The sequence below is a fragment of the Homo sapiens genome, chromosome 12 (assembly GCF_000001405.40).
Source record: "Homo sapiens chromosome 12, GRCh38.p14 Primary Assembly".
NCBI lineage: Eukaryota > Metazoa > Chordata > Mammalia > Primates > Hominidae > Homo > Homo sapiens.
Window position 1 is genome coordinate 113,371,540 of NC_000012.12, and position 16,441 is coordinate 113,387,980.

The following is a 16,441-nucleotide window of genomic DNA, read 5'->3' on the forward strand; positions in this document are numbered from 1 at the left end:
GGGCTGTTGTGGGTGCTCAGTGGTGAATGAGACACGGTTCAGTCTCTCAAGGGGCTCACGGCCTGCTGGGGACACTGAGGCAAGGCCACAAGTGGCTCTTATGTCAGGAATCCCAGGCCCATGTGCCAGGCACTTTGCCCACAAAGTCTCACTGAGCCTCCACCCTAAACCCCTGAGGGAAGCATGTGCACCTCCCCTGGATGGATGGGCAGGCTTGGGCCCAGAGAGGTGAAGCTACTTTCACAAGGTCAGCCAGCCAGTCCACAGAGGAGGCACCATTCAACCTCAGCTCTGTCTAACCCACGTCTCGCTCCTAACTAGTGTGCCCTGCTGCCTCCCCCTCTAGCCTGTGGCCTTCTTGTGGGTGGTAATATGTCTTGTCCCCAGCTGTGTCCCCTGATCCCAGCCCAGAACCTGGTATAGGACAGGCAGTGGGGAAATGCTGTGGAAGTCATGGAGGCCTGCATGGAGGAGGTGGTGTCTTAGTGGGCCTTGAAGGATGAACAGGATTTGGATGTGTTTCAGTGAGATGGTGATGGAGCAGCAGTCATGAAGCCATCAATCCTGAGGCAGTGAGTGCTGCCACTCACTCACGGGGATGACCAGGCTACGTGGTCTTTTGTCCCCCAGCAGGCGAGCCTGGACTCATGCAGGTGGCATCTCGGTGGGAAGTGCAGAGGGCCGCATGAAGTCTGGGTGAAACTGCCACGGCATTCTCTTGCCCAGTGGAATCAGAAGGGTTATTGCTGTTTTGTTCCCTGCTATGTCCTCAGTGCTTAAAAAGGAACATAATAGGTGCTCAAAAAAAAAACATTCATGGATTGACTAACTGAACACACATATAGATTGGGGTCCCCAGTAGCAGAGGTGGTGCCATCAGTTATAGGCTTTGCAGGCTAAAGGCTCTCAGGGCAACTTCCAGGGGCCTGGGGTCCCTATCCGGGGCAGAGCTGGGCAGGGAGAGGAGCCTCCAGGGAGAGGACAGCATGAGCAAGGACTCAGGTGGCCACACCAGCAGCCTCCGCTCTGGGGCAGCCTGGGTGGGGGGCTCTCAGGGAAGAGAGCACCCCAGCTGCCCGCCCTTGCCTCGCCCACCCCCTACCCCACAGCTCATCTACATGCACTGGATGAACACGGTGGTGAATTACTGCGGCCCCTTCGAGTATGAAGTCGGCTACTGCGAGAGGCTGAAGAGCTTCCTGGAGGCCAACCTAGAGTGGATGCAGGAAGAGATGGAGTCAAACCCAGACTCACCTTACTGGCACCAGGTGAGTCCTGCTGCCACGCTTGGTGGGAGGGGGCTTCCAGCTGGCCAGCCATCCTGTCTCCTGTTGTTCTGGCCAGCCTTGTGGCATGTCCAGCTGCCCAGCCGCCTCTGTTTCCATCATCATCTCCATCCCTCCTAGCCGACCTGCCACTCATCCATCTGCCCAGTCTCCATCTGTCCACTTGCTGGAACTCCAGCCATCCATCCTAGCCTACCTACAGTTAAATAATGACCAAAAACAAATAGTCAGTTGTTAGCATGGTGTTTTGCTTGTGTACATATGGTGTTTTGCTTGCATACAAGGGAGGTTGCTTGGTAGATTGATTACATTGGATGCAAGTAAAGACAGTATGAGAAAGAGGGGAAGGGGAAAACCAGAAAATCCCAGAAAGTCTGGACACAGTGAATTTTGTTTTCCTTTCCTTGAGTGAGCTGCTGATCAGCTGGCAGCTAACGGAGAGGCCCAGGCAGGCTCTCTGCCTTTGGGCCACTGGCTAGGCCATCATTGGAAAAGTCAGTTATTTATGGATTCCCCGGAAAATGTCAGGTGTTTGCTGTGAGGTACACACGGCAGGCTGTCTCTGTAAAGTGGCCATCAATGCCTGTTAGCATGTCTGCCTAGCCTAGGCCAGGTTTGCACCATTTTCCTCTGTAGAACTTCTCACTGTTTACCCACCCACCTACTCACACCCTAAGACAGACTCTTCTACCACCAACCCATCTACCTGTCCATTCCACACATCCACCACCCATCCATCCACCCATCCATCCATCCATGCATCCATCCATCCATTCATCCACCTACCCACCCACTCACCCATCTACCTATCCATCTATTCACTCACTCATCCATCCGTTCATTTACCCACCCATTTACCCACCCATCCATCCATCCTCCATCCACCCATCCTTCCACCCACCCACCCACTCACTCATCTACATATCTATCCATTCGCTCACTCACTCATCCATCCATCCATTTACCCACCCATTCATCTATCCATTCACACACCCGTCCATCCATCATCCATCCATCTACCCATACATACATACATCCACCCACCCACCCACCCACTCATCCACCCATCCATTCACCTCCCACCTGTCAACCCACTCACCCACCCATACATACATACATCCACCCACCCATCCATTCATCCAACAACCCACCCATCCATCTTGCAGATGCTTACTAAGTGCCCAGTGTGCCTGCCCAAGGCCCCATGAGGGACACACTGATGATACTTTATGGCTATAGGATGTTGAGGCAAAATGATGACAATGGGGAGAAGTCAGATGCATGAGACAGGTGCCCGAGGCAGCAATACAGTCAGTACTGAACTCAGAACAGGAGCAGTTGGCAAGAGGCCAGGCCAGGCTGGGAGGCGTCCTAGAAGAGATGGCTTTTGAACTAGGCTCTTAAGTGGGGCTGATTTGGGGTTAACACAGGGCAGAGACATAGAGTTAATTCATTGAAAGCAGGAGAGTGCTCAGCATGGAGGGGTGGGTGGTAGTTTGGGGGAGTCAAGGCTGGCTGGAGTCTGGAGGGTACCCCCGGGCCTCCTGCTCTGTCTGAACCCCCAGGCCAGAGCCCGTCCCGTTGAAGGAGAAGGTGTGAGCCTGGAGGAGAGGCCTCACCCTCCCTCTGCCCCCGCCCCCTCCCCTAGGTGCGGCTGACCCTCCTGCAGCTGAAAGGCCTGGAGGACAGCTACGAAGGCCGTGTGAGCTTCCCAGCTGGGAAGTTCACCATCAAACCCTTGGGGTTCCTGTAAGTGCCACCCCCAGAGTGAACAGGGTGGGAAGAAGGGCCACACACTCATAGTCGGACAGACCTGGGTTCCAGCATCAACCTTGCCACTCCCTGGCTCTGTGGCCTTGGAACAGTCAGCTGACTTCCCAGAGCCTCAGCTTTCTCCTCTGCAAAATGAGTACATAACAGCACTCACAGCAGGCGTGGTAACCCTCTGATGCCCTGGCCCTCCTCAGCCTGCTGCAGCTCTCTGGGGACCTGGAAGACCTGGAGCTGGCCCTGAACAAGACCAAGATCAAACCTTCTCTGGGCTCTGGCTCCTGTTCTGCCCTCATCAAGCTGCTCCCTGGCCAGAGTGACCTCCTGGTTGCCCACAACACCTGGAACAACTACCAGCACATGCTGCGTGTCATCAAGAAGTACTGGCTCCAGTTCCGGGAAGGCCCCTGGGGTAGGTGGGTGTGGGTGTGTCTGGGGGATGAGCAGGTGGGTGGGCACACACGTGGGGAGTGGTCCTAGGAGGTTTGGGCCTTGGAAACCCTCCCAACACACGGAGTCACTGCAGGGATATTCCAAGAGTTCATTTTGGTTTTGTTTTTTTCTTTTTGAGTTGGGGTCTTGCTCTGTTGCCCAGGCTGGAGTACAGTGGCACAGTCATGGCTCACTGTAGCCTTGACTTCCCAGGCTCAGATTATCCTCCTGCCTCAGCCTCCCAAGTATCTGGAACTACAAATGTGTACCACCACACTCAGCTAATTTGTTTATTTTTTTATTTTTAAGAGATGGAGTCTCACTATGTTGCCCAGGCTTGTCTCAAACTCCTGGGCTCAAGTGATCCTCCTGACTTGGCCTCCCAAAGTGCTGTGATTACTTATGTGAGCCACCACGCCTAGCCAGTTCATCTTGTTTTACATGTTTATTGCCTTTTTTATTTTACCTATTGCTGCTTAACCAGTTACCCCAAAATTTAAAACAACAACAGCTTAAATAACCGCTATTTATTTTTTGCTCCTGCCTCTATGGGTCAGCTAGGTGGTTTTGGTTTTCTGGGCTGGGCCAGGCTGATCTTGGCTAGGCTCACTGATGCATCAGCAGTCTGCTGGCAGGTCAGCTGGGGTGGGATGGCTGGAATGGGATGGCCTCTTCTCCTGTCTGGGGTTGATTGTCAGCCAGGGTGATGGGGACAGCTGGGCTACGTGGTCTTTCATCATCAGTAGGTGAGCACAGGCCTGTTCATGTAGCACTGGGGCAGGATATGGTAAAGGCCTCTTGAGACCTTGGTGAAACTGACACAGCATTCTTTTCTTTTTATTTTGAGACAGAATCTTGCTCTGGTGCCCAGGCTGGAGTGCAGTGGCATGATCTCAGCTCACTGCAACCTCTGCCTCCCGGGTTCAGGCAATTCTCCTGCCTCAGCCTCTCGAGTAGCTGGGACTACAGGCGTGCATCACCATGCCCAGCTAATTTTTGTATTTTTAGCAGAGACAGGGTTTTCCCATATTGGCCAGGCTGGTCTTGACCTCCTGACCTCAAGTGATCTGCCCACTTTGGCCTCCTAAAGTGCTTGGATTACAGGTGTGAGCCACCGCACCTGGCTTGACACAGCATTTTTTTTTTTTTTTTTTGAGACAGAGTCTTGTTCTGTTGCCTAAGCTGGAGTGCAGTGGCACAATCTCAGCTCACTGTGACCTCTGCCTCCTGGGTTCAAGTGATTCTCCTGCCTCAGCCTCCCAAGTAGCTGGGATTATAGGCGCGCACCACTGTGTCTGGCTAATTTTTGTATTTTTAGTAGAGACGGGGTTTTGCCATGTTGGCCAGGCTGGTCTTGAACTCCTGACCTCAGGTGATACAGCCGCCTCGGCCTCCCAAAGTACTGGGATTAAAGGTGTGAGCCACCGCACCTGGCTGACACAGCATTCTTTATCCAAATCAAGTCAGGTGGCCAGCCCAGGCTCAAGAGATGGGAGAATAGGCTCCACCATTTGCTATGAGGAACTGCAGAGTCACATCACATATGGCTTGGATGCAGGCATGGGAAGAATTAGAGCTATTTTTGCAAACAACCAATTGCAAGGATTGCATGAATACATTCTTCCTGTCAAATGTGAAAACTGGCTGGGCACGGTGACCCATCCCCGTAATCCCAGCGCCTTGGGAATTCGAAGCAGGAGGATTGCTTGAGCCCAGGAGGTTGAGGCTGCAGTGAACAGTGATCACGCCATGACACCCCAGCCTGGGTGACAGTGCAAGACCTTGTCTCTAATAAAGAAAAAAACAGTTTTACAGTCAAGGCCAAAGTCCTCCATAGTGCCACATCCTTCATCCCAGGCCCCAGCATCAGCCCCAGGGATACCACTGCCAAATGTTTGCAGTACCTCCTTCATGGCCAAATGTAAAAACTTGATGGGACCAGGAGCTGGTGAGGAGGTGGGGAAGTGTCCAGCCTTATTCATTGCTAATGGGAGTATGCGTTGGCACAGCTACTTTTAAGAGGAATCCAGCTGGCATCTAATAAAATTCAAAATCTGTCACTCCAGTGATCCAGCAATTCTCTGACTCCAGTCTGTCCCTAGAGAGACATTTCAGCTTCTGCATGGGGAGTGTGTATAAGCAAGTCTGCTATCACAGTGGTTTGGTGACAACCTAATGTCCATTCATTGAAATTTAAGTAAACTCTAAATTGACATTTATACAGGAAATCGTATACACTGTAAGTGTACAACTTGAATTTCTTGCACGTGGAACACACCTGTGTATAGCATCCATCTGGAGAAACAGAACATTCCCAGCCCCTAGAAGCTTCCCTCGTATCCCTTTCCAGGCACACCCCCACCCCAGCATCATCTCTGTCCTGATTTCTGTTTTTTGTTTGTTTGTTTGTTTTGTTTTTAAACAGTCTTGCTCTGTCACCCAGACTAGAGGGCAGTAGTGCAATCTCGGCTCACTGCAACCTCTGCTTCCTAGGTTCAAGCGATTCTTCTGCCTCAGCCTCCTGAGTAGCTGGGATTACAGGCACACACCACCACACCCAGCTAATTTTTGTATTTTCCGTAGAAATGGGGTTTCGCCATGTTGGCCAGGCTGGTCTTGAATACCTGACCTCAAGTGATCCAACCGCCTGTCCTGATTTCTCACAGAATAGGTTAGGTTTGCCTGGTTTTGAATGTCATATGAATGGAATCATGTAGTGTGTGCTCATTTGTTCTGCATGTCTGTGAGATTCATCTGTATTACTGTGTGTAGCTGTAGATCTATCATTCTCATTGCTATATATCCATTAAAATTTTAATAGCTTTTAAAAACATACTGTATAAGTCATACAGGTATGTTATAGAACATTGGAGAATCCACCAAAACACTCTCACAATGAAAATCACTTGAACACTCCACAACCCAAAAGAGAACATTTCTGTGAACATTTGGTTATGTTTTCTCCTAGACTTTAAAAAATGTACCTTGCCTGGGCACAATGGCTTATGCCTGTAAACCCAGCACTTTGGGAGGCCAAGGCAGGTGGAACACTTGAGGTCAGGAGTTCGAGACTGGCCAACATGGTGAAACCCCATCTCTACTAAAAATACAAAAACTAGCTGGGCGTGGTGGCGCACACCTGTAATCCCAGCTACTCGGGAGGCTGAGGCCCCAGAATTGCTTGAACCGCGAAGGCAGAGGTTGCAGTGAGCCAAGATGGTGCCACTGTACTCCAACCTAGGCAACAGAGTCGGCCTCTGTCTCAAAAAAAAAAAAAAATTTCCAAGGGTGGGCTTCATGCATGGAATGGGGTGCTATACCCATCATTGTAGTATTATACAGAATAGTTTCACTGCTCTAAAATGTTTGCTTTCTGAGTTTTTTTAAAATCATAATTAAGATTATACTGTATGAATTATTTGCGACTTCCTTCTTTTGCCCACTAGGCTGCCTTGGAGAGTTGCCAGTACTGCCATGTTTGGTCCACTGTGCGTTTTGTTTTTCAAATTACTTATTTTGAGACAGGGTCTCACTGTGTTGCCCAGGCTGGTCACAAACTTCTAGCCTCAGGTGATCCTCCTGCCTCAGCCTCCCAAAGCACTGGGATTTCAGGTGTGAGCCTCTGCGCTGGGTCCCACTGTGCCTTTTTCCTTTCCTTTTTTTTTTTTTTTTCTTTGAGACAGAGTCTCACTCTGTTGCCCAGGCTGGAGTGCAGTGGCACAATCTCGGCTCACTTCAACCTCCGCCTCCCAGGTTCAAGCAATTCTCCCACTTCAGCCTCCTGAGTAGCTGGGACTACGGGCATGCACCCCCAACCTGGCTAATTTTGTATTTTTAGTAGAGATGGGGTTTCACCATGTTGGTAAGGCTGGTCTCAAACTCCTGGCCTCCTGACCTTGGCCTTCCAAAGTGCTGGGATTACAGGCGTGAGCCACTGTGCCCGGCCTACTGGTCCCTTTGTTTTAAAGTGCAAAGACTTAATGTGGAAGAGATAATTCAGGCCAGACGCGGTGGCTCATGCCTATAATTCTAGCACTTTGGGAGGCCGAGGCTGGTGGATCACTTGAGGTCAGAGTTCGAGACCAGCCTGGCCAATGTGGTAAAACCATGTCTCTACTAAAAATACAAAAATTAGCTAGACATGGTGGTAAATGCCTGTAATTGCAGTTACTCGGGAGGCTGAGACAAGAGAATCACTTGAACCTGGGAGGCAGAGGTTGCAGTGAGCCGAGATCCCCCCACTGCACTCTAGCCTGGGCAACAGAGCAAGACTCTGTCTCAAAAAAAAAAAAAAAAAAAAAAAGACAAAGGATAATTCAGAGAGCTACACCCAGAACTCTGGAGCACTGTAGGGAAGAGGTCTGGGTAGAATCCCTGCTCAGCCATTTAACTGTTTGGCCTCTGCTAAGTTACTTAGCCTTTCTGAGTCTCAGATTGCCTTATCTGCAAAGTGCAGATGATAATTCTCTGCCCCCATGCAGGGCGGGTATAAGGAGTCAATTTACAAGATCACAGGGGTAATGAGCCTCCAGCATAAGCGTGAGGTCACAGTAGCCCTGCTGCAGACAGTGCATAAAACCAGACTAGCACTTGTCAAGGGATGGGTTTCAGGTAGAAGGAGTTCTAGGGCAGGGGTGAGGGTACCTGCCGGGGGTGGGCCTGTAATCCCAGCTACTCGGGAGGCTGAGGCAGGAGAAGCGCTTACAACTGGGAGGTGGAGGTTGCAGTGAGCTGAGATCGCCCCATTGCACTCCAGCCTGGGCAAAAAGAGCGAAACTCTGTCTCAAAAAAAAAAAATGTCCAGTGAACAAAATATTTATCTGTTTGTCTATCTATCTGAGTATATATATTTAACACATACACATATACCCACGCACACACAGAGTTGTCCCTTGGTGTTGGGGAGGGAGTTGACTCCAGGAGCCCCTGTGGAAGCTCAGGTCTCTTCTATAATACGGCTGACTGTTTACCTATAACATATACATATCCTCCCATATCCTATAATCATCTCTAGATTACTTGTAAGACCTAATACAATGCTACATTAATAGTTGTTATACTGTATTTTTAAAATTTGTTTTATCTTTTAGTGTTATTTCTTTTATTTATTTATTTATTTATTTTTTTTAGATGGAGTCTCACTCTGTCGCCCAGGCTGGAGTGCAGTGGCGCGATCTCGGCTCGCTGCAAGCTCTGCCTCCCGGGTTCACGCCATTCTCCTGACCCAGCCTCCCAAGTAGCTGGGACTATAGGCGCACGCCACCACGCCTGGCTCATTTTTTGTATTTTTAGTAGAGACGGGTTTCACCGTGTTAGCCAGGATGGTCTTGGTCTCCTGACCTCGTGATCCGCCTGCCTTGGCCTCCCAAAGTGCAGGGATTACAGGTGTGAGCCACTGCACCCAGCTGTGTTGTTTCTTTTTAATCATGTTTTTTTCCTAGTATTTTTGGTCCCCAGTCGATTGAATCCAAGGATGTGGAACCCACGGACATGGAGGGCCAACTATATAAGTTTTGCTGCTAGCTTTTATTTTTACTTGCACGTATATGCACTTTTATATGCCCAATGACCTCATTTGCTAAATGACAAAAAGGACACAGTGGGGGCTTCCTCGGAGGCCTGCCTGTGCCCCTGTGCCTGTGTCTTGTTAGGTAGGGTGCAGGGGCCTCCACCTGTGCCTGTCTGACCAGCATCCCTGGCTCGCTCTGCCTGCACAGGGGACTACCCGCTGGTTCCCGGCAACAAGCTGGTCTTCTCCTCCTACCCCGGCACCATCTTCTCCTGCGACGACTTCTACATCCTGGGCAGTGGGCTGGTGAGTCCCTTTCTCATGTCTCCTCTGTTCCTGGGGTGTTTGTCACACGGCGGCTCTGAGCTGGCAGGATTGATTCCTGCGGCAAGTGGGGACCAGGCTGCAGCCCAGTGCTGGGTGCCATGTAGGAGCCAGGGGTGCAGTGGAGGATGAGGTGGACGCTGCCCCACCTGCCATTCAGAGCCCAGACTCGCCCTTCCCCTGCTCTGGGGACTTGGACCACCACAAGGGCGTGTTTAAACATAGACCCCCAGGCCCCGCACAGGGCCTCCAAAACCTGCAGATGGCCTGGGACTCTGCATGTAACCCTGGTTGTCAGGAAAGGCTGGACTTGGGGATGTTTGGGACTATCCCTGACCTCAGTGACCTCACTTGTTTTTATGTATTCAGGATAACTGTGCCCCCGCCCCCCCCACATCCCCACCGCTTCCCTCTCCTCCTGCCTCCCTCTTGCTTTCCTCAGAGCCCCTCTGACCTGACCAGGTTTGCTGAATAGAGGCTGTTTACAGTGTGTTGTTTTCATCTTTTTTCCTGGCTGCGGTCCAGACTTGTTTAGAAATCTGTCCCTGGCACCCCTCGCTGAGAAAGTGAACCCTTTGATCTCCAGGGCAACGAGACAGAGGAGAAAAAACATCACTCTAAAAAACACCCTTAGCGCAGAGAACGCCAGCTCCCTGCGGGGACGGGAGGGGTGGGGACTCTTCTTCTTGTCTGATCCTTGCTTTTTTCTGAGTGTGGAACGAGGCAAGAGAGGGCCAGGCGGTGGGTGAGGGAACCCCCATGCTGTGGCCCAGGTGGGGAAGGGGACTGAGGCAGCTGGGGAGGGACACGTGAAATGGTTCCACCTGGTTACCAGGAAAGGGTCTGGGCAGGAAACTTCCCTTCCATCAGGGTCCCTAACTGTTTTTGTGCCATAAACACCTTGGGCAGTCCAGGAGGCTGTTGGCCCTCTTCTCAGAATAGTGTTTTAACTTTTATTATTTATTTATTTTTTTTCATAGAGATAGGGTCTCTCTCTGTCACTCAGGTTGGAATGCAGTGGTGTGATCGTGGCTCACTGCAACCTCCCACCTCCTGGGTTCAGGCGATCCTCCTGCCTCAGCCTCCTGAGTAGCTGGGACTACAGGCACATGCCACCATGCTCAGCTAATTTTTAAATTTCTTGTAGAAATGAGGTCTCACTATATTTCCCAGGCCAGTCTCGAACTCCTGGGTTGAAGGGATCCTCCTACCTCAGCTTCCGAAAGTGCTGGGATTATAGGTGTGAGCCACTGTGCCTGGCAAATTAGTGTTTTTAGACACATAAACCAAAATGTATAGGATTATGGAGGAAACCAGTTATAGTGAAATATGGTTATCAAAATATAAGTAAACTTTTAGTATATATGTGCTGCTTTATTAACACACTGAATAATAAGATCCAGAAGCAGGTGTGATAAATACCATAAGTTAGAAGAAGCAAGGTGCATGAATGATACTTTAAGGTATGTACAGCCTTGTAATCTGATGGAAAAACATCTGTGATTTCTGACAGTGACCGTCCCAGTGACTACTAATACCACTGTGGTGTGTCACGTTAACAGTGGAAAGAAATACCAAATTTCAGGATTTTTTTTTTTCAGAGATAGGATCTCACACTGTCATGCAGGCCTGAGTGCAGTGGCATGATCACAGCTCACTGCAGCCTCTATCACCTCAGCCTCAAGCGATCCTCCCATCTCAGCCTCCCAAGTAACTGGAACTATAGGCGCCTGCCACCATGCCTGGCTAATTTTTTTATTTTTTGTAGAGACAGGTTTTGCCATGTTACCCAGGCTGGTCTTGACCTCCTGGGCTCAAGCAATCTGACCCCCTTGGCCTCCCAAAGTGCTGAGCCACTGTGTCCAGCCTTTTTTTTCCTCTTTAAAGAGAAAAAAGAAAAAATCACATTTATGGATACAGCTATCTTTTAGCTGTTCTCAGCTTTTTGGTGGGGGTGGTGGTGGTGGTGGTTTTTTGTGTGTGTGTGTGTGTGTGTGTGTGTGTGTGTTTTTTTTTTTTTTTTTTTTTTTAGATAGGCTCTCTCTCTGTTGCCCAGGCTGGAGTGCAGTGGCACGATCTCAGCTCACTGCAACCTTCGCTTCCAGGGTTCAAGTGATTCTCATGCCTCAGCCTCCGAATAGCTGGGATTACATGAGTTTTGTTTGGTTTGGTTTTTAACTCACAAGAACTAAGCTTTACTTTTCAAATATGCTGAAGGCAGCCAAGGGTTCCAGCAGGAAATGGAGAAGGGAGAGGAGGCAATCGGAGGCAGCGGTGGGCATCCTGCATGCCCCAAGGCTGGAGGGAGACTGAGGGCCTCTCCTGTTGTAAGGCCTCCTAGTCCTCTGACTGCTGCATCTGCCAGGCTGACAGCCTCAGGCCGTGCAACTTTTCCTGCAGAACTGTGGGAAAGGGGTGGGAATGGGAGGTTGCCCAGCTTGGTGAGGGAGTGGGTTCATGGGAGCGGCTCTTTGGGCCTCTCAGGGGCTGTTCACCAGGGCAAAGCTAGATGCATGATCCCAAATCCTCCTGCGTGCTTGTCCAAGGAACTGGTGGGGAACACGTGCCTCAACTGGATATGAGTTTTTATTTTTATTTATTTCTTCTTTTGTTACCCAGGCTGAAGTGCAGTGGCATGATCTGGGCTCACTGCAACCTCTGTCTCCTGGGTTCAAGTCATTCTCCTGCCTCAGCCTCTCCAGTAGCTGGGATTACAGGTGTATGCCACCACACCTGGCTAATTTTTGTATTTTTAGTAGAGACAGGGTTTTACCATGTTGGCCAGGCTGGTCTGGAACTCCTGACCTCAGGTGATCCACCTACCTTGGCCTCCCAAAGTGTGAGCCACCATGCCCGGCAGATTAAGTAAGTATTTAACACATGTAATCCCAGCACTTTGGGAGGCGGAGGTGGGCGGATCACTTGAGGTCAGGAGTTAGACCAGCCTAGCCAACATGGAGAAACCCTGCCTCTACTAAAAATACAAAAGTTAGCCAGGCGTGGGGGCACGTGCCTGTAATCCTAGTTACTAGGGAGGCTGAAGCACGAAAATTGCTTGAACTTGGGAGGCGGAGGTTGTAGTGGGCTGAGGTTACACCACTGCACTCCAGCCTGGGCAAGAGTGAGACTCTATCTCAAAAAAAAAAAAAAAAAAAAAAAATTTTTGGAGCCATGACTGATGAAGTACTGCCACTTGGTGGCAGCATGCCTAGGCTGTGCAGCAGCCCCCTTGACCTTCCCACAGGTGACACTGGAGACCACCATTGGCAACAAGAACCCAGCCCTGTGGAAGTATGTGCGGCCCAGGGGCTGTGTGCTGGAGTGGGTACGCAACATCGTGGCCAACCGCCTGGCCTCGGATGGGGCCACCTGGGCAGACATCTTCAAGAGGTTCAACAGCGGCACGTGAGTGGGCTTCTGGCCCTGTGGCTTCCCCTGCACCAAGAGATAGACCAACCTCCCCTTTAACACTCACACTCCTGGGGACCAGATGTGGCATCCGGGCCACACACCCCACGCCCTCCTTTGTTTCATACATGGGGAGACTGAGGCTAGGGAAGGAAAGGATTTGCCCCTCCCCTGCAGGCTCCTCAGCCTAGGAAGGGGTGCCTTGGTGGCAGTACAGGAAGAGCACTTGGAACCTGAAGACTCTCAAGGGGACAGTGGGGAGGGCTGTTTGAGGAGGTGGACGTGGGTGGGTGGCAGGGCCTGTGAGCCAGAGACACTGGAACTGGGCAGTGCAGATCTTACAGCATCCGGCAGAGGAGCTGACCTAGGGAGCCACAGAATATTCTGGAACAGTCAAGCAGCATGACGAGAGAGGGGTTTGTGGATACCTGGTCATGCTGCAGCGTCAGGGTGTCAGTTGAATGGCTGGACAACCCCAGGCCCACTTCCTGTAATTCCTAGCTGAGTGGGACACTGCAGGGTGGGGAAAGCTGGGGAGGTGGCTCCAGGCTCTGTTCAGTCCTCCCTTCCCCTGCCCGGCAGGTATAACAACCAGTGGATGATCGTGGACTACAAGGCGTTCATCCCGGGTGGGCCCAGCCCCGGGAGCCGGGTGCTTACCATCCTGGAGCAGATCCCGTGCGTACCCTGGGAGGGAGGGGTGGGGGCTCGGGGCAGAGGGGACTGCCAGGGTGAAGGCCCAGAGCCGTGCTGGCGCTGTGCAGGAAGTGAACGATCTCAGGAGGGTGTGGCTGGAAGAGAAGGTGTCCCTGGTGGGGGCTGAAGTTCAGGACTTAATCCATCCTCCAGGCAATGGGGAGCCATCGGGGCTCCCCGAGCAGGGCAGTGCCCACAGGAGCCCCTTTTCTGATCACCTCCACCCCATCTCTCTTCTCGGTCTCAGCGGCATGGTGGTGGTGGCTGACAAGACCTCGGAGCTCTACCAGAAGACCTACTGGGCCAGCTACAACATACCGTGCGTGCCTTCTCACTCCGCTCCCCGTCACCCTCCAGGGCATCCACCTCACTCCTTGCCCAGCTCCTTCCTAGGCAATGTTTTTAAACCCACAGAACAAAGAATCCCAGCCTACCCCCTTTTCTGGCCAGGAGAGCCCAGACAGTTTGGCAGTGTAGTTGCATGGCTTAAGTCAGCATCCATGTGACCTCTGGTTCTAACACCCAGAGCAGGGTGGTGTGGGGTGGCCAGGCTCAGGGACTGGCCCCTGCCAGGGTCTCTGACTGGATCTGCCTTACTGGGCTGTACAGCTGTCACCTCCTGAGGCTCACTTACTTTACCTGCATTTTCTCATTTGACTCTTAAAATTGCCACATGTGGTCACTAGAGTTCCTGTTCCCATCTCACAGATGATGAAACTGAGGCCCTGAGAAAGTACCTCACTTTCCCAAGCTTCCCCTGTTGGCGAATGGTGAAGGCAGGATTTGTTTTTTGTTTTTTGTTTTGAGACAGAATCTTGCCCTGTCACCCAGGCTGGAGTGCAATGGTGCAATCTCAGCTCACTGCAGCCTCCGCCTCCTGAGCTCAAGTGATTCTCCTGCCTCAGCCTCCTGAGTAGCTGGGATTACAGGCGCCAGCCACCATCCTTGGCTAATTTTTCTATTTTCAGTAGAGACAGGGTTTCACCATGTTGGCCAGTCTAATCTCAAACTCCTGACCTCAAGTGATCCGCCTGCCTTGGCTTCCCAAAGTGCTGGGATTATAGGCATAAGTCACCACACCCGGACTGAAGGCAGGATTTGATGCCATGCCTTTTGGGCCCCAGAGCCCAAGCTTGGCCACCCCACCAAGCCACCCCCCAGCACAAATGGAAGACATTATTGTTATCCCGAATGTCATAGTTGGTTTTGTTGTTGTTGTTGTTGTTTGTTTGTTTGTTTTTAGAGACAGAGTCTCGCTCTGTCACCCAGGCTGGAGTGCAATGGTGCGATCTCAGCTTGCTGCAACCTCTGCTTCCCGGGTTCAAGCGATTCTTGTGCCTCAGCCTCCCAAGTAGCTGGGATTACAGGCACGTGCCACCACGCCGGCTAATTTTTTTTTTTTTTTTTGAGACGGAGTCTCGCTGTGTCGCCCAGGCTGGAGTGCAATGGTGCGATCTCAGCTTGCTGCAACCTCTGCTTCCCGGGTTCAAGTGATTCTTGTGCCTCAGCCTCCCAAGTAGCTGGGATTACAGGCACGTGCCACCACGCCGGCTAATTTTTTTTTTTTTTTTTTGAGACGGAGTCTCGCTGTGTCGCCCAGGTTGGAGTGCAATGGCTCGATCTCAGCTCACTGAAACCTCCACCTTCCAGGTTCAAGTGAGTACATGCCTCAGCCTCCCGAGTAGCTGGGATTACAGGCACACACCACCGTGCCTGGCTAATTTTTGTATTTTTAGTGGAGACAGGGTTTCACCATGTTGGCCAGGCTAGTCTCAAACTCCTGAGCTCAGGTGATCTGCCCGCCTCGGCCTCCCAAAGTATTGGGATTACAGGTGTGAGCCACTGCACCCAGCCTGAATGTCGTAGTTGTAAGTAATAATGTCCTGGTGTGACTGCCCCTCCCCTCCCTGGCCACAGCCTTGGCTGAGTGAGGCCAGTGGGGGTCATGGGTGACCATCCTTGTCCCCGGCAGGTCCTTCGAGACTGTGTTCAATGCCAGTGGGCTGCAGGCCCTAGTGGCCCAGTATGGGGACTGGTTTTCTTATGACGGGAGCCCCCGGGCCCAGATCTTCCGGCGGAACCAGTCACTGGTACAAGACATGGACTCCATGGTCAGGCTGATGAGGTAGGTGCCAGTTGGGTGGTGGGTTGGGGAGAGGGAGGCCGCAGGAACACAGAACTTCCTGTGCGCTTTTTGTACCAACTCATTCAAACTTTGCTGCCAGCCCCAGAGGGCCAGCAGGGGGTGGTCAGATGTTGGACACCAGTGCAGCAGCTCGGTGGCCGCTCTCCACTTGGGCCCTGTCACTGTCCTCATAGCTAAGGGGAGGATGCTAGACATCTGTTGAGTGACCTGTACTGCTAGGCACTATGCTTGGTACCAGGAGCAACAGGTAGAAAACCTGTGCCCCACTGTCCTGTCTCTTGGGCGGTGCAGAAATCCATCAAGTTCTTGCACTGGTGTCAATGTGTAAAGATGGCTGTGTTCCAAGAGAGGCTATCCAGGAACAAACGGGTGCCTCACCTGGCTGGGGTGGTGGCATGGAGGCCTTCCCTGAGGATGAGTGCCTGAGCAGAGAGCTGAATAATGAAGGCAGAGTGACTTAGGTGAAGGGGTCCGGGCCCCAGGCAGAGGAACTGTCGGGGGTAGTGTGCAGTGGGAGGGGCTCATCAAGTTGAAGGCTGGCAGCTGTTAACGGGGCTGCCTGTGAGGATTTTGGCCCCCGTCTTAGCCTCTCCTTCCTGGGATGACTGATGTTCCCTCCTTTTCCCCATCCAGGTACAATGACTTCCTCCATGACCCTCTGTCACTGTGCAAAGCCTGCAACCCCCAGCCCAATGGGGAGAATGCTATCTCCGCCCGCTCCGACCTCAACCCGGCCAATGGCTCCTACCCCTTCCAGGCCCTGCGTCAGCGCTCCCATGGGGGTATCGATGTGAAGGTGCTGCCTCCTCCCTAGGGCCTGAGCTGTGGGTGGGGGAAGTCACCATCACCAGCTTTGGGGAAGGGACAGGT

The 16,441-nt window shown here is 51.8% G+C and overlaps 1 protein-coding gene across 4 annotated transcripts in view, besides 1 other annotated feature; it reads left to right on the forward strand.

The window, feature by feature from the left end:
• PLBD2 (phospholipase B domain containing 2) overlaps positions 1-16,441 on the forward strand; it is a 33,043-nt gene that overhangs the window by 12,953 nt on the left and 3,649 nt on the right. For 3 of the 4 annotated variants that reach the window (NM_173542.4, XM_017018977.2, XM_011538023.3), the window contains 9 exons: positions 1,110-1,268; positions 2,935-3,035; positions 3,254-3,468; positions 9,206-9,303; positions 12,566-12,726; positions 13,312-13,407; positions 13,673-13,744; positions 15,398-15,550; positions 16,205-16,367. In NM_173542.4, coding sequence (NP_775813.2) covers positions 1,110-1,268; positions 2,935-3,035; positions 3,254-3,468; positions 9,206-9,303; positions 12,566-12,726; positions 13,312-13,407; positions 13,673-13,744; positions 15,398-15,550; positions 16,205-16,367 — 1,218 coding nt within the window. The remainder of the gene's footprint in view (positions 1-1,109; positions 1,269-2,934; positions 3,036-3,253; positions 3,469-9,205; positions 9,304-12,565; positions 12,727-13,311; positions 13,408-13,672; positions 13,745-15,397; positions 15,551-16,204; positions 16,368-16,441) is intronic. The other variant, NM_001159727.2, reaches the window with a different exon arrangement.
• Positions 8,805-9,330: an enhancer, noted in NCBI's record as "H3K27ac-H3K4me1 hESC enhancer chr12:113818149-113818674 (GRCh37/hg19 assembly coordinates)". NCBI's record gives its function as "activates a minimal SCP1, AML or CMV promoter by ChIP-STARR-seq in primed H9 embryonic stem cells {active_cell/tissue: H9 hESC(primed)}" and the evidence as "EXISTENCE:reporter gene assay evidence [ECO:0000049][PMID:30033119]".